The 23,753-nt window shown below is 34.7% G+C and overlaps 1 protein-coding gene across 5 annotated transcripts in view, besides 4 other annotated features; it reads left to right on the top strand.

Annotated features, from left to right (window-relative positions):
• CHSY3 (chondroitin sulfate synthase 3) overlaps nucleotides 1–23,753 on the top strand; it is a 282,656-nt gene that overhangs the window by 256,191 nt on the left and 2,712 nt on the right. The window contains exon 1 of one of the 5 annotated variants that reach the window (XM_011543364.3): nucleotides 22,291–22,590. The exons of the other annotated variants lie outside the window; for them this stretch is intronic. The gene's annotated coding sequence lies outside the window, so the exon portion shown is untranslated. Of the gene's footprint in view, nucleotides 1–22,290; nucleotides 22,591–23,753 lie in introns of those variants that run through there. 5 annotated transcript variants of the gene reach the window in all.
• Nucleotides 6,282–6,962: an enhancer, noted in NCBI's record as "OCT4-NANOG hESC enhancer chr5:129502144-129502824 (GRCh37/hg19 assembly coordinates)". NCBI's record gives its function as "activates a minimal SCP1, AML or CMV promoter by ChIP-STARR-seq in primed H9 embryonic stem cells {active_cell/tissue: H9 hESC(primed)}" and the evidence as "EXISTENCE:reporter gene assay evidence [ECO:0000049][PMID:30033119]".
• Nucleotides 6,282–7,641: a biological region, named in NCBI's record as "OCT4-NANOG hESC enhancers GRCh37_chr5:129502144-129502824 and GRCh37_chr5:129502825-129503503".
• Nucleotides 6,927–7,221: an enhancer, noted in NCBI's record as "tiled region #1157; HepG2 Activating non-DNase unmatched - State 24:Quies, and K562 Activating non-DNase unmatched - State 24:Quies". NCBI's record gives its function as "activates a minimal TATA promoter and a strong SV40 promoter by Sharpr-MPRA in HepG2 cells, with weaker activity in K562 cells {active_cell/tissue: HepG2 | K562}" and the evidence as "EXISTENCE:reporter gene assay evidence [ECO:0000049][PMID:27701403]".
• Nucleotides 6,963–7,641: an enhancer, noted in NCBI's record as "OCT4-NANOG hESC enhancer chr5:129502825-129503503 (GRCh37/hg19 assembly coordinates)". NCBI's record gives its function as "activates a minimal SCP1, AML or CMV promoter by ChIP-STARR-seq in naive and primed H9 embryonic stem cells {active_cell/tissue: H9 hESC(naive and primed)}" and the evidence as "EXISTENCE:reporter gene assay evidence [ECO:0000049][PMID:30033119]".

The raw sequence follows: 23,753 nt of genomic DNA on the forward strand, positions 1-23,753 counted from the left end.
GAAAGATTATGTAAATTGGAACCACAGATTTACCCATTTCAACCAAGCGGAGTTAAATTGAGAACAAGCAAGTTCCTTGTCCATCTGACTCCCAATACTTGCCTTACTTAGAAATCATAACATAGGAAGCTTCTCATCTCCTCACTACCAAATCCTCAGTCCTGCTTTCCTCCTTGCCCACTATCTTTTCAATCCCCCTTACTATAACATGGGATGGCCCTTTCTCCTATCAAAGGCCCATTCATTTTCTGATGCTTTGGACCTCATTTCTTTCTCAGAGACCTATCTCCTTCCCTTTTTAAATCCATCCCTTTGCCCATTACTTCTTTATTTCCTTTGAAATCCACTAAACAGTTTACTGAGCACCTACTCTGTGCTTTCCTGGTGTCCTCGGCATTTGGAGATGCTTTCTGCATCAGAGCCAAAGAATTTTGATTCTTTTATTCTCACAGAGGGGAAGAGTCTTTCTCCCCAATTAAATGCAATGTCCTAACATTAGCCAGAAGGGACCTATGCTGCTTTCAACTCTTTGCCTAACTCTAGGTTTAGGACAGTTCTAATTTAGATGGTGTTACCTACTTGCCAAATGAGGGTTCAGTGGAGGATGAGGGGTGTGTGACCAGTAAAGGGGTTTCACTACAACTACAGATAATCCTTTGGAGGGAATACCAGGGAATGGCTCCAGAAAGTGATGTAAAATACTGATCATTTTTATTTATTTATTTATTTTTTTTTTTTTATTTTTTTTTTTTTGAGACGGAGTCTCACTTTGTCGCCCAGGCTGGAGTGCAGTGGCGCGATCTCGGCTCACTGCAAGCTCCACCTCCCGGGTTCAAGCCATTCTCCTGCCTCAGCCTCCCTGGTAGCTGGGACTACAGGCACCTACCACCACGCCCATCTAATTTTTTGTATTTTTAGTTGAGACTGGGTTTCATCATGTTAGCCAGGATGGTCTCGATCTCCTGACCTCATGATCCACCCGCCTCTGCTTCCTAAAGTGCTGGGATTACAGGCGTGAGCCACCACGACCAGCCGATAGGTAATTGTTTTAATAGCACTTGTTGAATGATTAATCCTTTGACCACTTATTAGAAATGTTACCTTTTAATTTTTTAAACTTCTGGAATGTGTAGTGCTCTTTCTGGATTGTTCGTTCTATTCTACTGATCTATTTATCTATCCTAGTACTATTACCACTCCCTTACATTACTCAAATAAATTGGATGTCCTTCTTTTCAAGATTTTTTTACCAGTTTTGTGCAAACACCATAAGTTTTATGAAAAGCCTATCAAGTTCTAAAGTTTTAAAGGTTAATATACTTTCTGGAATTGCATTCTATTTAAAAAGGGATTATGTTTAGTTAATGTAGACATTAACTTTAAGGAATTATATTCTCATTCAGAATTGTGGTTACATTTTGCAATTTATTCAGAGTTTGCTCTTATGTTAGCATAGCTATTTTACAAGGTATATCAGTCAGTCCTACAACCATTATAAACTTGTTATAATAAAGAATGTTTATTCTATCTTATCACTACTTTAATGTTTGACTTCTTCACTTCAAAAATAGTTGAAAACTTAGAACTGGCCAGGTACAGTGGGTCACACCTGTAATCCTAGCACTCTGGGAGGCTGAGGCTGGTGGATTGCTTGAGTCCAAGAGTTCGAGACTAGCCTGGGAAACATAGTGAAACCCTGTCTCTACTGAAAATATAAAAAATTAGTCAGATGTGGTGGTGTGCACCTGTAATTCAAGCTACTAGGGAGGCTGAGGTGGGAGAATCACCTGAGCCTGGGAGTTTGAGGCTGCAGTGAGCCAAGATTGTGCCATTTCACTGCAGCCTGGGCAACCAGAGTGAGACCCTGTCTCAAAAAAAAAAAAAAAAAAAAGAAAGAAAGAAAGAAAAAGTTAAGACTATCCTTGTATAGTGTTTTAATTTAATTATTTGGTCAATTAATTTTACCCCTCAATAAACCGTTTACCTATTGACATTTTTGTGATATAAAAAAGTCATTCCTCGATTTGTTGGAATATTTATTTTAAAAATGTACACTTAACCAGAGATCCATTTGTGTCTACTGCACATTTAAATAATGTATGATATATAAATATATTTTAATGTTTTCACATAACTGTCCTCTTTTGACCTTCATACAAGCATTGTACATTTGAAAAAGCAATGATTTTTCTCCCCATTTAAAAAAATGAGAAGACTGACATAGACAAATAGTGTGCTTTGCCCACTATCACAAAGCTGGTCGATGGACTCTCAGTACAATGACCTTCCTTATGAAATCAGCTGCTTCCTAATATTCCTTTCTGTAAAGCCATACAGCAAACTCCCTAGATTCCTATATTTATTTATTTATTGACTTATTTAAGAAACGGGGTCTTGTTCTGTCACCCAGGATGGAGTACAGTGGGATGATCATGGCTCACTCCAGCCTGGAACTTCTGGGCTCAAGAGATTCTCCCGCCTCAGTCTCCTGTGTAGCTAGGACTACAGGTGCCTGCCACCACACCTGGCTCATATCTTTTTTTTAAAAATGTTATTTCTCATTATGCTCTCTCCAACTAGAAGCATTGGAGCAGAACTGTGAGGAAGGACACCCTAAGAAGTGAATCTTGAAGGATGGTAGAAAGGCCACATACCAATTGTACTGTGGCTGGCACAATGCAAATGGAATAAATTACATAGCCGCAATCAACTCAGATCTAAACTCAGGTGATGTGAATGTAGCAATATTGTGCTTTCTCTGTGTAATTGCAATTACCTCCAAGTTTATTTGTCACCAAACAAGCACTTTTTCAATCAGTGCAACTTGTGCAAATCAGCACTCTGGGATGTGAATGATTTAATTCACTCATCATGCACTTCGTGATGCCCAGCCCTACCCCACCCATGAAGAAAATAAATAAAGTTTAAGGAGAGATTACATGGAAAGCAGACATGTGGGGCACAAAAGTAATGTCTAAGTTAGTTATCATTCTTAAAAAAAGTTAAACATGAGAAGAGTAGAATAAAGCTATTAGTGAGATACATAGTTTTATTTAACAAAAGAAACACAGTATTGATTAAAATAAGAATGAAATGAAACATATTTTATTAACCAAGAATAAAGCACATTTTATTCTTGGTTAATTTTCCTTCTTTTTAGAGAAATTAATAGACATATATATAGTAATTGTTTGTTTTGGCAAAGAAGACATTTAAGCAGAAAGAGGATGCCTTCACATTTCATTTCTTTACACAAATGACATATGCCAGACCCATGGAATTCACTCCCAACTATTAATGACACTTTCCCTTCAACTTCTGGACCTTTCTTAACTTGAGGTTTCAAAGAGTTGCTCCCATTTCTTCTAAATTATTCTCTGAGGAAAAAAAAATCTATTTTTCTCGAGAAAACCTATTTTTTCTTCCTCATTAAAAGTATGGTCATTTATTAAATTTTGCCATACTGAATTATCTCAATACTAATCACAGTGAGTGAAATGAAAAAATTGTTATTACCTTTGCCAAAATAAACTTAACAGTTTAACTGTGGATGGGGGAGGATTGAAAATAATAACTAAGCTAGCTAACTAACATATAAATGTCTAATTGATAGAGGAATAAATTAGAAAGTAAAGCATTATAGTAAACACCAAACTATGTGATATATTGAGCTCTGTGATACCTTGCAAAGAAGAGTCAGGGTGTCCTGGAGTTGACAGAGGATGCATCTATATGATAGGCATCTAGCAAGATTTAAGGAATGAGTAGCATTCAGATTAACAGAGCTATGCAAGAAGGTGAAAACTCAGGTGATAACAGCGATTTTTCCCATTTGACAGAATTTTCTCTTCAAGTGAACGACTACTTGGAAACCTAATATGTAACAGCTTAAAGCAGAACTGCCGTGATTGAAGGGAGGAGAAAAATGGGCTCCAGAGCCCTGTTAATATGTCCTTCTGGTTTTTCCTGGGCCTCTCTCTGATTTAGAATGTTAAAAACTCTCTATCTGTATTTCATTTGATCTATATCTTCCTTGAGGATTAATATCGATGCCCTATAATAAAGATACTTGTAATAATTCAAACTTGAGCCAGGGTCCAGGTAATAAGAGGGGAAGAAACAACAGGATAATTAGGGAGCAGTTGTAAAAAAGAAATAAAATTGATTGACTAGGACGCGGGAAGAGGAAGAAAGGAGGAGTCTACAACATTGTAGGAGTAAGAAGTCTATATATCAGGAAGGAAAACAGTTGTACAAGGTAGAGAATTGAGATGTCAGGAGAGGAAACTATATTTGTTTCTTTGTTTTAGTATATATATGTTTTATTCAATTTCATTTCCCCCTCTTTCAATATATCACTGTATTGAGATGGCTCTAAAGTAGGAACATAAAGACCAGATTTATTCTGGTTGGATCCATAAGACTCCATCTTTTCTGAAAATCTAGAATCCATTCATAGGCATGTGATGTGCATTGAGTCTCTCTTCTCAGACAGCTCTGCCCTGCACCATTTACAGGATGTCAGGCACTGGAGATAGAATGGTGAAAAAAAGACACAGTCCTATCCTTCAGAAAATTCCCGAGTTTGTTAAGAAGCCAGATGTATCTAGATCAATAAACAAATGTAAAATTATAATTTGATTAAATAGTGAGGAAAAAATGGCACCTAGTACCAGGAGACATATACCAGTCCTGATTTAGTCAGAGAAAGTGTCCATGAGGTAGCTGAGTAAGAGTTAAATAGGAAAAGAAATGGTATTGACAGATGGGAGAACACCCTAAGTAGAAAAAAAAGACATATGCAAAGGCACTAGGAGAGAAAGAAGCCAGTATTGGTGGAGTATAGAGGGTGAAAGGTAGCAGAGAAAGCTGGAGAGGAATGCAAGGACCAGACCATAAGAGCTTTTTATTCTACAGTCATCTATTCCATGGTCAGTGGATGGCATTGACAGAAGGGAGAGTCATATGATTACATCCCGTCTTGGAAAGATGCCTCATGTTGCATCATGGAGAACTGATTGGAGAGTGGCCAGATGAGATGTAGGCAGACCGGTAGCTATTGCAGACAAAGTTCTTGGGATTTTGGACCAGGATGGTTGCCCAGAAGATATGAAGAAGAGAAGCAAGATTCAAGAGATCGGTAAAATAGATTGGAATTAGTAATGAGGCTTAAAGGAGAGCAATGATATAATAATGATTTATAATGATATATTAGGGCTAACTCTTGACATGACATCATTATTGCAAAATCACTTTCCCAATTTGTCTTTTAATTTTATCTTTGTTGCTTTTGATATAGGAAGCTTTTAATGTTAATGTACTATTAAAATCCATTATCGTGTCCTTTATTTTCTTGTTTATAGTTTTGTTTTTGCTTTAAAAGAACTTCTCCATGTTTAGAAAAGGTAAATATTTACCTACATTCTTTTCCCATTAGTTTATGGTATTTTTTTTTCTTATAGGAGAGGGTCCGAGTAGGATTTAGATCTTTTATATATTTGAGATACATGCACATATCTATGTGCACACATATATCTGAACACATATACAGGTATATATGTATATGTATTTACTGTATTTAGTGTAAGATATGAGGTAGGTATGGATCTAAATTTATTTTTTCCTTATAAATGGCTAAGGGCCCTATAAATCATATATGAAATATGATTCTGAGTCATTTGCCTTTTTGTGAAATATTTTCTCAATGAATATGCCATTGAGATTAGCCATACAATATATAAAGAATTGGAGATGGTATTCACGTGAATATTTTGATTACACTGATCTGTTTTAAACAATTCTGTAAACAGTATGTAAAATAAATTTAAATGTCCATTAGTATTAGGAGCAATAGTAGTGAAAACAGAGCCATGAAAACAAATCCAAAACCTAGTGAGATTTGGAGTGTTTAGCTTTGCTTCTTTATAAAATATAGTTATTTAGCTCATTGATTGTACTAATTATAGTTTTATTCCTCAAATCTCAGCAGTTTTGCCTTAGCATCTTATATCTGCTTTATAGAATTAAAAATAATTCATTTATTTTATTTTATCTGTTCAGAGAGAAAAATTTTAAAACTCCATTTAAACCATTTTAAAAGATAACTGTGCAGACTTGAAACCCAAATTGTTCTTTACTCTTTTACCAAAGCTATTATGGTGACAGTGAGTCACTAGGACACTTACTGGGTCTCATGAAATCATTTTATTAAACTTACCCTTTTCCGTTATGTAAATTACTCTTTTTGTGGTGACAACTTTATACATAAGAAAGAAAGGTAAGTTATACTTAGTCTCCAGTAAGGATATATCAATGTAATTAGATCAAAGTGACTCAAGTCCTTGTATCTTCATTTCCGGAAAACTTGACTTTAAAAAGATTAGGCTTTACTTGATTTTTGTTAGCACTATCTTATAAATACCTACTTGTTATTTAGCACTGTGATTACCATCCATTCCCACAGCAGTGTTGTGCCCATGCAGAAGTCCACAGCACTATAATTAGGATATTTTTTCCTAAGAAAAATATTATAATAGACATCTTGCCATGCTTATGTTATTTTAATTGGATGTTTAGCTCTAGGGATCTTCATAATTTATCATAAAGCTTTAATGTTAATAAAATCAGCTGGAAGGAAACACTACTAATCTCCTTGATTGCACCACAAGGAGTAGGATCTTAATTTGAGCCTTTCCTTCTTTTTTTAAGCTAATGGAGAAAGAGTTTTAAGTGGATCATGGGATCTAAGCAATGTAACACAATGCTTCATTAAGTATTGCCCATGATCCACATCAAAGAAAAATTACTAAAGGTGGAGGTAAACAGGCCAGGAAGACTTATTCAAGACTACTACAATAGGGGAGAGAGATTGAACTCAATTCCCACTGAAACAAAAGGAAGGAGAGTTTTTTGGCTTGTTTGTTTTCCTTTTTTTTCCCCTGCTCCTTTTTTATTGTGTAAATTTAAGGTATACAACTGATGTTTTTATATACATACACAAAGCAAAGTGATTACTACCTGGAGAGTTTTTAAGTGCTGGGGTGAGCCAGTGGAAAAGTACTGGAAGACATTAGAGGGGAAGTTGGCTGGTATGATCAGGCCTTCCGTGTTTGCTAATTGGTGTTTATCAAAGTTAGGCTTCTACCCTCCCACAGAGACTAAGAGATGGAGGGCTGTCTTTGTTGATGATTACATTTTGAAAGGATAGCTAATAGTACCTTGAGAAAGCCATTTCTAGATTGTAAAACTGGCAGGCAAGAAGCTGGAAGATTTACATCTCAATAGGGCAGAAAGGAATTTACAACTGCAAGTTTTATAAAGTAAATCTTCTAAGAAAAAGGAGATCTGGAATCTATAGTCAGGAAGAAACCTAAGTTATTTCAAGCTGAGGGAAATGTTAAGGCCATCTTGGCCACGCATTGATGGGTATTGGATTTTACTTGATCTGGAAACTGATCTAAAAGTATAAGCCCTTTCTTACTTTACAATATATAATACAATCTTAAAACTTTTAAGTATTATGTACAACTAAAGGTTACTCATTAGAAAACTAATAAATTAGATATTCAGGTGCAGAAGGGATGTCTTTGAAATGTGCTTTAGAGTGCAAGAGATTTCACTGTTTAAAGTTTACTAAATAATAATAATAGCAACACCTATTGAGTATTTACCCTGTGTCAGATACTAATTTATGCATGTTTCAAATAATGTAGAAAAAAATCTAGGAGCTCTCCTTTTCCTAGAAGAAAATTTAATCCAATATCAGACTGGGAATGGAAGAGCAGGTCTCAAAACCAAACCTGTGACTCCAGAAAGGGAATCCTGGCCTGGAATAGACACACATGCACACACACTGATAGAATAACAGATAAATATGCTGAAGAGGTTCTTTTTTCTTTCCTTTAAGTAGTTGAAAGGTCCCCAAAACCCAGGTCTAACTCCACCACTTTAAAATTTCCTACAGAAGCCCTAGTTTTGTGCTATTTCTTGAATGAAAGACTACCTTGTTTCCATGCAGCTGGCAAACGCCTTCATTGGGCTTTGCTGTCATTCTCATTTACTGTGGTCTCTCAGCAGCACTTCATTTATTTGTGCAGAAATTATTAATGTGATGGAGTGCAGCCTGACTTAGAATCAGTTTAGACTCCTACAGTCGTTTCACATCCCAGTGCCACAAAGCAGGAATGATGATGGCAGTCTTCGCCCTTTCTCCCTGCTTGGATGACTGCATCAATTACGAAAATAGTAAAGAGATGGAGGACTCCCATCAGTCATGCTACAATAGTACTGGCCTATGAGTCACTACTTAAATAAGATATAAAAGCTCTAAGATATGTGCCAAATCTTTTGCAGCACAGATGTGTAAAGTCTTAAGTTACGTTTTATTTTTTAACTTAAAGAAACATTTAGAAGCTTGGGAAATACTGCAGAATTCTGAGAATTGTCTTTTAGACAAAGTTCTTCCAGTAAATATTTTGCTCTCTGTTTTGGTTATCAGCTAGTTTTGGAGGGCATATATTACTTTATTAAAAATTAATTATAAATATATTCTTAAATATTAGGCCTAGGCTACACTCTAGGAGCTGGTCATCTAGAAAGGCATGCTATCAAATAAAGCAGCAAGTACAATATAGAATAATTAGTACAATGAGCACTGGCCAAAATTACACAGCTGTCTATGAATGTGTATAGTTAGTGCTTGTCTCCGTCACTAAATAGTTAGCTCCATGAGGCCAAGGACCATTTTTGTTGTTGTTGTTGCTCTATCTATAGTAACTGATGCATTTTAGAAACTCAGGAAATATTTGTAAATGAATGAATAAATATAGCTGCGAGTAGGAGAGGGAGCCAAACTGTTAGGGAGGATGGAATCAAGAAATGTTTGTTCAGGCAAAATTACTGAAATGATCATATTGTCATAGAGTATAGTATGACATCTTTCTCATGGTTTCCATTTTTTTTGTCAATTAGATTTCACTAACCTTCTTCAGCATCTACTGTATACACGGCAGTGAACTATGTTCTCCTCTGTACCTTATTACTCTGCAACATACTGAGAGCTGAGATCCATTTCATACATAATGAATATAAATTTTTCACTCTTAAATATTGACAATGTGATACCTAATTTCCATTTCTGAGTATATCTGAATATAGACCAAATGACATAAGAAACTCCGTAAAAAACAATTAACACTGAACACTGCACAATGGCCCTCCTATTTGTTGGAAGGTGGTCACATTTTACCTCCTTATACAGCATTCCAAATTTCCCTGAAGATTACTACAGAAGCATAAATGATGATCACTGGAAATTATCATGTAGCCGAAGCTGACACTCACAGAAGTATATGTTATCCTTCAAACAAAAAAATCCTAAGTTTGTCCTAACTTTATCTGACCCATTTTTTAATGCTCTCTAACATTAGTGAATGATATAATGTTTATGCAGAATTAGATAAGCTTATGTTAAGCTTTTCACAAGGCTAAACAGTTGGTTGCTTGAATTTTGGGAGCACAGAAAAAAAAAAAACAGTAATTACAACCAATCCAACCTTTGGCTTTTGCTTTAGCACATTAGTTAAATAAGAATCTACTTGGTATTTGAAAGCGTTCAAAACTGGAATGAAACATATGAATTAGAAAGAAGGTAATTTCCTCTTTTTTATCTGAAAGGGAGGTATGATTTTATGCGTGATCAGTGACATCATACACTCATATTTCCTCTGTGGATACAATACATTCATGAATTGGGTTAATGTCTTCTGAAATTTTGTAGCAACTACCATCTTTCTTTTATTTTTAAATTTTTAAATAAAATATTTTATTTTAGATTCAAGAGGTACGTGTGCATATTAGTTACATGGGTATGTTGTGTACTAGTAGGGACAGGGCTTCTAGTGTACCTGTTACCCAAATAGTGAATACTGTATCCGAAAGATAATTTTTCTACCCTTGCCCCCTTTCCACCTCCCCGATTTTGGAGTCCCTAGTATCTATTATTTCCGTCTTTATATCCATGTGTTCCCATTGTTTAGTTCTCACTTATAAGAAAGAACATGTGGTATTTGGTTTCTTGTTTCTGAGTTAGTTCACTTAGGATAATGGCCTCCAGCTGCACCCAGTGTTGCTGCAAAGGACATGATTTCATTCTTTTTTATAATTGCATAGTATTCCATGGTGTGTATATACCACATTTTCTTTATCCAGTCAACTGTTGATGGACACTTAGGTTGATTCCATGACTTTGCTATTGTTAACAATGCTGTGATTAACATACAGGCACAGGTATCTTTGTATATAATTATTTATTTTCCTTTGGATAGACACCCAGTAGTAGGATTGCTGGGTATAATGGTAGTTCTGTTTTTAGTTCTTTACTATTTTAGTTCCATACTGTTTTCCATGGAGGTTGAACTAATTTACATTCCCACCAACAGTGTATGAGCATTCCATTTTATCTGCATTCATGCCAACATGTTGTTTTTTGACTTTTTAATAATAGCTATTCTGACTGGTGTAAGATGATATCTCATTGTAGTTTTAATTTGCATTTCTCTGATGATTAGTGATGTTGACCATTGTTTCATGTGTTTGTTGGCTGTTTGTATTTCTTCTTTTGAGAAATGTTTGTTCATATCCTTTGCCCAGTTTTAATCAAGTTTTTTTTTTTCTTGTTGAGTCGTTTGAGTAACTATTACTTTACATTTTGTTTTTCAGAGGTCTTGAAAGCCTAGTTTGGAAATGATAACTTCCCTTTTTCTATTGTTAGTTATGCTCTGAACCCATCATTTACAAGGAAATGCAATCACTAGTGAAGGGAGTCGTTATGTTGGTATTACATGAATAAAGGGTGTGTGCGTGTTTGCAAAATGGCAACTTGCAAACGTAATATTCTTCTTTACCTCCTCTTTGTAATAAATAGTGAGTACTTAAAATGTTTAGGGAAAAAATAAATGTAAAATTCTACTTGAAAGTTTACCAAATTTTTAAAAAGTATACAGAGGAAGAGAAATGTATAGATTTTAACAATCATCTAGCGTTATCTTAACTGTATCTCAGGAAATATCTATATAGTCACTCTGAATATGTGTATGTCAGGCTAAATCAGGCAGATAGATGAGCAGTTAAGTTCAGTTATCATTAGATTTTTTTTCTTATTAGAGTGATATTTTAGTTCTAAAAGGGTAGTTTTAATTAAGGCATAAGGGTTTATTTAAACTAACAAATGATTATGTGTCATTATACCATGATAAACAAACCTGATGAACTTAGTGATTTCTTTAAGATTTTTAATCTCTTTGGTATTTGTCCAAGACATCAGGTGTCCAGAATATACTCTGCTGAGAAATCTATATCAATGATTGAGAGTTAATATCTATGAGCTATTTTCCATGTTGTCTGAAAGTGTTTTTAAGTTGTATAGAATATATCTTTCTGAGAAATCTTTATCACATATAAGAGTTGCTATCTGCAAGCTATTTTCTGTGTTGTCTGACAGGTTTTCTAAAAACTAAAATAGCTAAAAAAAATGAAACAGGAAAAATGTGTCAGTTTTAATGGTGCAGATTACCCATATCAGATTGTTACTTGGATTTCAACCAAGACTGAACTAACTAATTAAACAGAAGGAAAACCTTCTTCAAAATCATACAGAGCATTAGTACAGAGCTGAAATTGCAACTTCACTTATCAGGTTGTTTTTGACAGGATGCTTTGTGGTGCAAGTGACAGAACCACAGCTAAACTAACTGGAAAAAAGAAGAAACTATAGTCCTAGGAAGCCAGAAAGTCTGAGTGTGCTTTGGCCTTAGGCATAGCTCAGTGCTGTGTTCAGTGCTCTCAATAGCACTCAGTTTTTCTTATGTCACTTCTCTGCCCTGTCTGGGTGGTGAGGTCTGCTTTTCTTTCTCTAGGATTATAGTGTGCAAAATATCAGCCTGTGGTCAAAGGCAACCATTTTTTTTTCCTTTTACAAGAGAGATCTTGCCCATGAATAAAGCTAATCCGGAAGGAAACATTTATAACGAAGTATATTAATTGGCCAGAGTGTGATATGCATTCACTTTTAGGAAAAGATGAAAGTTGTGTAAAATAAAAACTGAAGAAAAAGAATAGTTTATTATTTAACTCTTTTTTTTCTTTTCTTTTCTTTTCTTTTTTTTTTTTTTGAGACAGTTGAGACAGGGGCTCACTTTGCCACCCAGGCTGGAGTGCAATGGCACCATCTCAACTCACTGCAGCCTCGAACTCCCAGGCTCAAACCATCCTCCCACTTCAGCCTCCCAAGTAGCTGGGACTACAGGTGTGTGCTACCATGCCCAGCTAATTTTTCTATGTTTTGTAGAGATGGGGTTTCGCCATGTTGCCCAGGCTGGTCTCAATATTTTGGACTCAAGCAACCTGCCTGTCTCATCCTCTCAAAGTGCTGGGATTACAGGTGTGAGCCACTGTGCCTGGCCACATGTAACTCTTTTGAAGTGTACAATTCAGTAGTATCAGCTATATTAATGTGCTACGCAATGTTTCTGTAGAACTTTTTAATCTTGCAAAACTGAAACTCCGTGCCTGAACAGCAACTCCCCATTTTCTTCTCACTCCAGTCCCTGGCAACTGCCATTCTATTTTCTATTTCTATAAATTTGACTACTTTAGATATTTCTTATAAGTGGAATCATAGAGTATTTGTCGTTTTGTGACTGGCTTATTTCACTTAGTATAATGTCCTCAAGTTTCATCCATATTGTAGCAAGTGATAGGATTTCAAAAGGAAAAGAAATTTTAAGATTTTTAAAACTTACTTTAAAAGGATATCCACAAACTTAAAATGCTTTCAGAAAACTTATATTTATGACAACCTAAATTTATAACAAACATGGAGAAATTTGATGGGACTGAAAGTAACTTGAAAATGCACTGCTCGCTTATTATCTTTCAAATTCAAATGTATTCAAAATACTGGACTCACCAAGAAAAAAGGCAGCAACAAAAATTACGTCTATAGCCTTTGGACTACACGTTTTCAACACTGCTACTAATACATTTGGGGAGGGATTTCCTTCAAAACAAAAAAGAGAGAGAGACAAGAGACAAAATATTTTATTTTTTGCATCATAATTTTTTAAATTTAACCTTTTGTTTGGAAATAATTATCAATTCACATACAGTTGTAAAAAAAAATACCCAGAGATTCCATGTGTCCTTTATCCAGTTTCTCTCACTGATAACATCTCGCAAAACTATATTCACAACCAGGATATGGATATAATCCACTGATGTTATTCAGATTTTCTTAGTTTTGCAAGTACTCTGTGTATGGGTGTTTGTGTGCATGTATACACACATGGATTTAGTTTCATGCAATTTTATCACGTTGTATAGTGAGTTTAAAGGCAGAGTTTATAGATCAGATGTATCTATTATCAAGGTGTTATTATTTTTAGAAATCTTAGTAGCAAAATGTTCTTATTTTATATGAAAAATATGCATACAGGATATGAAGAAGAGTGTACCTTATTATTCTTATACCAGATCATTGCTTTAAACAATTTATTCAAGCTGTATACGCTCTTTAACATGTTTTCATTCTTTCCATAATTATAGAATGAAATATGTATGTTTATTTTCCCTCAAGTTATTTATTTTCTTTAATATTGAGAATCAGGCTTTTTTTTTTATTTTACCATTATTACCAGAGAAGTAGGGCACATTTTAAGAATCTTACTTTTAATATCTGCAGACAATAATTGAGGGCAAACAATTGTGTTAATTTGAAAATTCACTATTTTACTTAGAATTTTTATATTCACTAGTCTTATAAAGGAAAGATTATTAGTCATTTTCATTAAGGACAATAAGACTCTCCATTTAGTTACATAACTAAATCATCAACAATAAAATGGGTTTAATATTTGCAAAGCAAATTACTGAACCCATAGGTACATATTCACCATTATATTGCACACCACTTAAATGATTTTTTATTTTCTTACATGCCTTCATAATTTTTCTAATTTGCAGAGTCTTCACTTCCTGGTAAAGGAATGCCTCATTCTCCCAAATCCTCCTTAATCTCATATCTAAGAAGAGATACAAACAGATTTTTCCAAGTTAGAGGATCCTTTCTCGTTAAAAAAAAAAAAGTAGTAGCATAATGAAAACAAAATAACTTTCAGATTGAAGTAACTTCTTTACATAAGTAAATTAAGGAGACTTTTTTCCTTCATAGAGAAGACCAAAGATTTTCACAGACAGCTTTACCCATGATAGTATGGCCTCTTATTTCTCTTTCAACAGAGATAATTTAGTTTCTTAGTTCTCAAATTATGATCTGAAGTCAAATGATAGCTATTGTAAACATATTTGAATCATTTTCTAAGGCAAATTTAATCAAGAGCATTTTCATGTACTCATTTATTCAATACCTACATTAATAATAATATAAAAACAAATTTCAACAACTACAAAGATAACAACTACAACAATAACTAATTATATACAATAATAATAACTAAGCAGTTACAATATGCCACATTCTTTTCTACATATTTCAAATACAAATACTCATTTAACACTAACAGCCACCCTATGAGGTATATACTATTTATGGTATTTCTTATTTTACAAATAGTTAAACTGAGGCACAAAAAGTTAAAGGATTTGTCCAAGGTCACATGTTTATTAAGTTTTAGAGCCTGGCTCCATCCATGGCATCTGGCTCCAGAATCTAAGCACTTCGTTGCAATGCACATGCACCCCCCTGAATTACAATGAGACATACATGGAAAAGAGACACACATGGAAAAGATATAATAGTGGGGTGTTAAGTCTCCCACTATTATTGTATGGGAATCTAAGTCTCTCCGTAGGTCTCTAAGAACTTGCTTTATGAATGTGGGTGCTCCTGTATTGGGTGCATATATATTTTGGATAGTTAGCTCTTCTTGTTTCAGTGATCCCATTACCAGTATGTAAAGCCCTTCAGCAAAGTCTCAGCATACAAAATCAATGTGCAAAAATCACAAGCATTTCTATACACCAATAATAGACAATCAGAGAGCCAAATCATCAGTGAACTACCATTCACAATTGCTACTAAGAGAATAAAATACCTAGGAATACAACTTACAAGGGATGCGAAGGACCTCTTCAAGGAGAACTACAAACCACTGCTCAAGGAAATAAGAGAGGACACAAACAAATGGAAAAACATTCCATGCTCATGGATAGGAAGAATCAATATGGTGAAAATGGTCATACTGCCCAAAGTAATTTATAGATTCAATGCTATCCCCATCAAGCTACCATTGACTTTCTTCACAGAATTAGAAAAAACTATGTTAAATTTCATATGGAATCAAAACAGAGCCTGTATAGCCAAGACAATTCTAAGCAAAAGAACAAAGCTGGAGGCATCATGCTACCTGACTTCAAACTATACTACAAGGCTACAGTAATCCAAACAGTATGGTACTGGTACCAAAACAGATATATAGACCAATGGAACAGAATAGAGGCCTCAGAAACAATGCCACACATCTACAACCATCTGATCTTTGACAAACCTGACAAAAACAAGCAACAGGGAAAGGATTCCCTATTTTGTAAATGGTGTTGGGAAAACTGGCTACCCATATGCAGAAAACTGAAACTGGACCCCTTCCTTACACCTTATAAATTAACTGAAGATGGGTTAAAGATTTAAATGTAAGACCTAAAACCATAGAAACCCTAGAAGAAAACCTAGGCCATACCATTCAGGACATAGGCACGGGCAAAGACTTCATAATTAAACACCAAAAGCAATGGCAACAAAAGCCAAAATTGACAAATGGGATCTAATTAAACTAAAGAGCTTCTGCACAGTAAAAGAAACTATCATCAGAGTGAACAGGCAACCTACAGAATGGGAGAAAATTATTGCAATCTATCCAGCTGACAAAGGGCTAATATCCAGAATCCATAGGAACTTAAACAAATTTACAAGAAAAAAACAAGCACCCCATCAAAAAGTGGGCGAAGGATATGAACAGACATTTCTCAAAAGAAGACATTTATGCAGCCAACAAATATATGAAAAAAAAAGCCCATCATCACTGGTCATTAGAGAAATGCAAATCAAAACCACAATGAGATATCATCTCACGTCAGTTAGAATGGTGATCAATAAAAAGTCAGGAAACAACAGAGGCTGGAGAGGATGTGGAGAAATAAGAATGCTTTTACACTATTGGTGGGAGTGTAAATTAGTTCAACCATTGTGGAAGACAGTGTGGTGATTCCTCAAGGTTCTAGAACCATTTGACCCAGCAATCCCATTACTGGGTATATACCCAAAGGATTTTAAATCATTCTACTATAAAGACACATGCACACGTATGTTTATTGCAGTACTATTCACAATAGCAGAGACTTGGAACCAACCCAAATGCCCATCAGTGATAGACTAGATAAAGAAAATGTCACACATATACACCATGGAATACTATGCAGCCATAAAAAAGGATGAGTTCATGTCCTTTGCAGGACATGGATGAAGCTGGAAACCATCATTTTCAGCAAACTGACACAGGAACAGAAAACCAAACATTGCATGTTCTCACTAATAGTGGGAGTTGAACAATGAGAACACATGGACACAGGGAGGGGAACATCACACACCAGGGCCTGTTGAGGAGTGGGATACTAGGGGAGGGATAGCATTAGGATAAATACCTAATGTAGGTGATGGGTTGATGAGTGCAGCAAACCACCATGGCACGTGTATACCTATGTAACATGTATCTGCACATGTATCCCAGAACTTAAAGTATAAAAAACAGATTGAATTTAAATACTTGTTATTTTGATTACCACATCTCTAATAACTTCCTTGTGTTTTTTCTTCATCTTTCAGTTTTAGTCATTTTCTATTGACTTAGTTAACTTTCCTTTCCTACACAATCACACATGTGTATCCTGTCCTTGACTCCCTATACTTCATATGGGGCATATAATAATTTTTCATACATATATATATGAATATATATATATATGAGTGTGTGTATATATATGTGTGTGTGTGTGTATATATATATATATGTTTTGTATTCTTCACTAACTGCTTCTCCAGATTCACTGGGTTTTCTGTCAATTTATTTTTCTGAACAATCCCTTCTTTTTGCCTTCTGACCTGCTGAAATATCTATTGGTTGCCCTTTATGTTCCTGTTTGCACCATGTTTTCTGTTTCCTGATTTTCTCTCTGCTTGGGAATAACAAATCTATTAATAGTTCTCTGAGAAATGAGCTTGAAAGATAGTTCTTTGAGGTACAGCAATGACCTTATTTTCTCCTAACACTTCATTGATATCTTGTTTAGCTATAGAATTCTAGGTTTGAAGCCATTTTCATCATATTTTGAAATGACTATTTGATTACTTTTTGTACTTCCAGTTTTCATTGAGAAGTCTATAGACATGCTGCTTTTTGAGCCTTTTATCACTGTCCTCCCAGGAGGCATCTAACATATCCTCTGCCTCAAGGCTCTAAAATTTCACAGTGGTGTGCTTCATATGGGTCTAATTTCATCGGATTTAGCTTTTATAGAATAAGCCCTTTGAATTTGGAAACTCAAGCCCTTCATCTGTTGCATTTTGTGGAAATTTTCTTGAATTATTTTGTTGATAATTTTTTCCTCTCTGTTCCTCTGCTCACTCATTCTGGAACTACTGTTATTTGGATATTGGATCTCCTGAACTGTTCCTTAATTCCTTAAACTTTTCCCACAAATTTTCTTTTTTTGTCTTTTTGCTTAACTTTCTAGATTTTATTACCTTTATTTTCCAACTCTTCTTTTGCATTTTAAAATTTCTGTTATATTTTAATTTTGGTGCATTTTATATTTTGGTTTTTCTACATATGTACTTGATATGTGTGATTATGTGTGGATAGATGGATATAATAAAACATATAAACATGGATAAATATGGATATAGTTGTGGTCTTTTTTTAGTATTATATGTATATATATGTGTGTGTGTATATATATATATTTATATATATATGTATATATTTATATTTATATATATATATATATATATATATATTTTTTTTTTTTTTTTTCCTGAGACGGAGTCTCACTCTGTCACCCAGGCTGGAGTGCAGTGGCAGGATCTCAGCTCACTGCAAGCTCCGCCTCTCGGGTTCACGCCATTCTTCCTCAGCCTCCCTAGTAGCTGGAACTACAGGCACCCACCACCACGCCTGGCTAATTTTTTGTATTTCTAGTAGAGAGGGGGTTTCACCGTGTTAGCCAGGATGGTCTCCATCTCCTGACCTCGTGATCCGCCCGTCTCGGCCTCCGAAAGTGCTGGGATTACAGGCGTGAGCCACAGCACCCGGCCGTGGTCTGGTTTTATGTTCTCAGTATCTTCCCTCACTTTTCTGAAGATAGTAATTCATTATACATTTTTTTGTCTTCTTCTACCTGAATATTCTCTATTTCTATAGAGATGGCTTCTATCCTTAATAAACTGCTCAAGATTGAGCATAAGGGATGAAAATCTGATGAGAAACGTTGAAAAAGTGACTTGGTTTTGTCAACAATGACAAGGATATCCCTAAATTCAGAGATGATGGAAAATAAATATTGAATTTGTTAACATTACTTTTTTGCTCAGAGAGGGTCAGTTGTCTGGCTGCACAATCTGACTGATTATTTTCACTCAACCAACTTTTACTCCTATTTCTGGAGGTTCCAGTAAGGGTTTCTAAGGTTCAATTTAAGTTTATTCTTGGTTTTGCCCATTGCAAGTCTACAATTCAGTTTTCTACAATTTGCTAGATCTATTACCACTTATCTGTGTGCAGTCAACTTCCACAATTATAGTGTCCTCCACTTTTATTCCCTATGTTTTTGTGTATCCCTTTAAAGATTCACTTTATTACTGTCCTCATTGAGTTCAATAAATAGTAAATGTGGAAATTACTGTTAAATCTACCATTTTTATTCAGAAGTTGACTTGAACTTTTTATCTACCTTCCAAAGGATTTTGTTCTTTTATTGAACATTCCGGGTTGATTTTATCTGGCACACGCAGTAAGACCATTTAATATAGATACTATACTCCTTTTATTTCAATAACAGTTTCTTAAATTGTATCTTTATGTCTTCTGTTTTATTTTTTTTCCAGTCACTCTAAGCATGTTTTTGGCTTTTCTTAGCCTACCCTCCTATCAATATGATTTCTCTCTTGTCTGTCATTAACTCTTTATTTCTATTTCACTTTCCTAATTTCTGCCGTTCTATCCCTTAATAATAGCTTTCCACAGTGCCTATTTTTTTCTGATTTTATTTTCATGCCTGTGATAGAGTTTATTTTTTAATCATTTCTTTATTTCTTTGTTCTTTGAGCTGACATTTCATCTTACTATCATATCCCTGAGCTCTTACATTTCCCTTTGTTGTTTATGAAGATAGAGGCAAATTCTTCATATGTTTTCAAAACCAGGTGCCTAATGTTTTTCTCAATTTCATGGCTTTTTTTCTGGGGGCAAAAGGAAGTGGTAGTTTTTCATCTAATTTTTTTTTTTTATACTTTGTGTCAGTGTTACACTATTTTTCTTTTTTAGATAAATGACTCATCTCTGAAAAAAATTACATTTTTCCTGGACAAGCAATTCAGCATAGATTTATTTTGGTAGGAGTGTTTGCTATAATTCTTGGCTTGCTGATTTCCACAAAGAAAAGACATAGATTTTCTCTGCTGCTTCAGATTAAACGTGCTTCATGAAACTAGGGTTTAAGTGTTTAATTCTTTCTGTACCTGTGTCTTTTCTACTTCTCTGAAACCAAATGTTGCCATCAGGGTTTATTCCGCCTGTCCAGCTCACCTGAGTTCCTGAACTTAGAGTTGTAAATGCAGAGTAAGTTTTATGCCCTACATTTTCAGGCAGTGTATTTTCTTGGTGCTTTCTGAGATCTCTTACCCTTGAACCCTTTGGGCACTGACACTGATCTGCTTAGCCTCTCATTTCCCCCTGTTTCCAAATGATCCTGCCCAACCTCAGAAGCTTTTGGAAATTCTAAACATATTTTGGTGACTAAAGGTATTTTGGTGACTATGTATTATTCCATCTCTTCATTTTTAAAGCTAGAGTTAGAGGTATTTTATTTTTATTCCCTATTGTTTTCTAAATAGCCTCATCAGTGTATAATTTACATTCCACAAAATTTTCTTCATATATATATTACATTTTACTGATATTTGGTAAATTTATACAGTTATACAATCATTACCACAATCTAGTTTTACAAATTTTCCATTGCTCCAAAAGTTACCTTGTGCCTATTAGTAATCAACTCCTGTTTTGTTTTTGTTTTTTGTTTTTTGTTTTTTTAATATTTTAAAGTTTCTCAGTTAAGACTGGGCACGGTGCCTTATGCCTGTAATCCCAGACCTTGGGAGGCTGAGGTGGGAGGATCACTTGAGCCAAAGAGTCCAAGACCAGCCTAGGCAACATAGTGAGACCCATCTCTACAAAAGAAATTGAAAAATTAGCCGGGTGCGGTGGCATGCACCTATAAGTCCTAGCTACTCAGGAGGCTGAGGTGGGAGGATTGCTTGAGCCCAGGAGCACTGCAGTGAGCAGAGATCAGGCCACTGCATTCCAGCCTCGGCGACAGAGTGAGACCCCATCTCAAGAAAACAAAAAACAAAAAAGTTTCTCATTTATATAGCTATGATCATTTCAGAAATGACCTATGCTATGTTTTCATTATTAATAATTCTAAGAAAGGTAATGAAAGTTTAATGCGGTAGAAGAGTAAATAATTCAACATAAAACTACCTCTTGGCATTTATTCTTCTTCTGTTAGGTTTTTTGAGAAGATTTTCCTAGAGGCTCTCAGATAATCTTTCTCAGAGGGTGAGATCATGTGTGATACGCTTAAAGCACTGGGGTCAGTCGGGGCACACTGGTGTTCATTGCTGCTGTGATTTTGTTGTTGTGAAATGATTTTTCTTTGCCGTGTAATGTTCTGGAGGTTCCATGAAATCCACTGATAATTCTTTAAAGGAGAGGAAGCCAGCTTAAACTAAAGGTTCTTAATTATTTCAAGCAAATTAATATAATTTTTAAAATAAATTTTACACATATTTTTCTTAGAACAATTTCGCTATGTTCAAAATGTATCATGATCTATAGAAAAACTGAAAATCATGAGAATTCTAGTTTTAATTTTATTCTCATCATTCTCAATAGACACTTGGGTGAATAACTCTGGGAAAATCTCTCTGATATCTTCTCTCTCTCTCTGTCTCTCTCTCCAGGCCCACATATCCACACATTTATGAACATACATGTCAGAAAAGCATATCTAATTCTATGTGCATATATATGCATACTTTCAAAATAAAGTCCTTCATTAATTGGAGTATAGCAGATAAATATATCTTAAGCAGCAGTTCAGTGAATGTTCACATATTAAATGCACACATATGACCACCACCTGGATAAATAAAAGAACATTACCAGCACTCCAGAAGCTTCCCTCTTCTTGATTCTTGATCATTATTCCAACAGCAAACCATATAGGTTAGCTTTACCTGTTTCTGAATTTCACATAAATGGAATAATACAAAATGTATATGGCTTCTTTCATTTTTTGTGAGATTCATCCATGTTGTTGCAAGTAGTATTTCAAGTATTTAATTGATGTATTGTTTTTCATTACATGAATATACTACATTTATTCTGTTCTTGATGTAAATTTAGGTTATTTTCAGTTTTGGAGTATGAATAATGCAGCTACGAAAATTATTCTATATATATTTAGGTGTATGTATGTATATATATATATGTATTTCTATTGGGCATATATCTAAGAGAGAATTACTGACTCATAGGGAATATGTATGTTCATTTTAGTTGATACGGGTTTTCTCAGTGATAGAACCAAGTTATATTCTCACTAGCAGTGTATGAGAGTTCCAAATTTTCCACTGCCTTCACAATGCACAGTATTATCTATCTGTTTTTTTGTGGATCCATCACGTTATCCCATAGTAATTTTAAGTTGCTTTACCTTGATGATGAATAAAGTAGAGAATGTTTTTATATGTCTATTGAGTATTTGCATACTCTTTTGTGAAGTACTCATTCAGGTTTTCTTTGTCACTTTTCTGCTAGGTTTGTCCTTCCTTTTTTCCTTATTTGTATAAGTTTATTATATGTTCTGGGAATTGGTTCTTTTTCATAAAATCTATTGAATTTTTTTTCTCCTGCTCTGTAATTGCCCTTTATTATTTTCCTAATGGTGTTTTTAAAGAACAAGGTTCTTAACTTTAACATAATGTAATGTATTAGTCTGTTTTAATGGTTAGTGCCTTATGCCCTATTTATAAAATCTTCACATACCCAAAAGTCTTGCAGATATTTTCATGTAAGTTCTAGAAACTTTTTAAAGCCTTTTTCTAAAATAAACCTTTATGTTTACATCAACAGGTCATCCATTGTAGGATGTAGGGGATCCGTTTTTACTTTTTTCCCTTATATGAATATCCTACTGATCTGGCACTAATTACTTAAAAGACCACCCTTTCTCCAAACTGTAAGCTCTATTTTATATTTCTATTACTTTGCTAATTTTTTTCAAGTCTCTTCTTCCTACGTTTTTCACAAATCTCTTTTTATGCTTCTTGCAATATGTCTATCAATGATTTTATTTTTTTCTCCCTTTTTTCCTTAGCCCTGCCAGTTTACTTTTTATCTTTTTTAAGCTTATTTGTCTATTAATTGAGTTTTTTTTTTGAAGAGGCTGTTTTTTTAAATTTATGTACAATTTGTACCTGCTTCTGATGAGTATTCTTAAGTTTGCAATATTTCTTTCTTCTTATTCATCAGTATATTTGCAGACATGGTGCTGCTGGCCTTTTTTCTTCTTTTTCACCTCCTTCTCCTCATCCCCTCTTTTCTTCCTTCTTTTTATTGTTCATAATCACGTATCTCGAGTGGGTATAATGGAGGTGTCTTAATCGACTGGCAGAAAAGGAAGAATCAGCTGGCGGTTTGAACTTTGTCCTCATAACTACATATTTTTTTTCATTTTTGTTTCTGCCTGAACTAGTGAATTTGTTCTAGACTAGCAGAAAGTCTTTTTGTTTCATAAGGATGTCAAGCATGTCTATTTTGGGTATGATACTTTACATCAGGAGTGTAGATCAGTATAGTTTCCGTTTCACCTTATCTTACCAAGAACTTACTCGGTAAAAATAGTATATCAGGATGCTAAATGAAATTTACGACTCCCCTGGCAAATAACTTCTTATTGCCATTCCAAACAACAGGTCATTGGTTTTCCTCCTTAGGGTGAATCCTTATTTTGGAAGACTCATGCTGTGTCCATTCTGTCTCTCTCCTTCTCCGTGATCTGTTATGGGGTTATGGACACAGTCAATTGTTGTTTTATGTATAGCTAGAGGTTCATTTGCAATATTTGAGCCTATGAACCTGACATTTGTGCTCTCACTCATATATAGAAATCAAAAAGTTGATTTCATAGGACTAGAGTGTGGAATGTTGGTTACCAGGGGCTAAGCCAGCTGGAGAGAGGGGTTGGGGAGATTTTTGTCAAATGATACCACATTTCAGTTAGATAGGAGGAATAAATTCAAGTGATCTATTGAATACATGATGACTATAGTTAATAACTATATTATATACTTTAAAATGCTAAAAAAAGATGATAAATGTTCTCACCACAATAATAACTAT

Source organism: Homo sapiens, chromosome 5 (assembly GCF_000001405.40).
Source record: "Homo sapiens chromosome 5, GRCh38.p14 Primary Assembly".
NCBI lineage: Eukaryota > Metazoa > Chordata > Mammalia > Primates > Hominidae > Homo > Homo sapiens.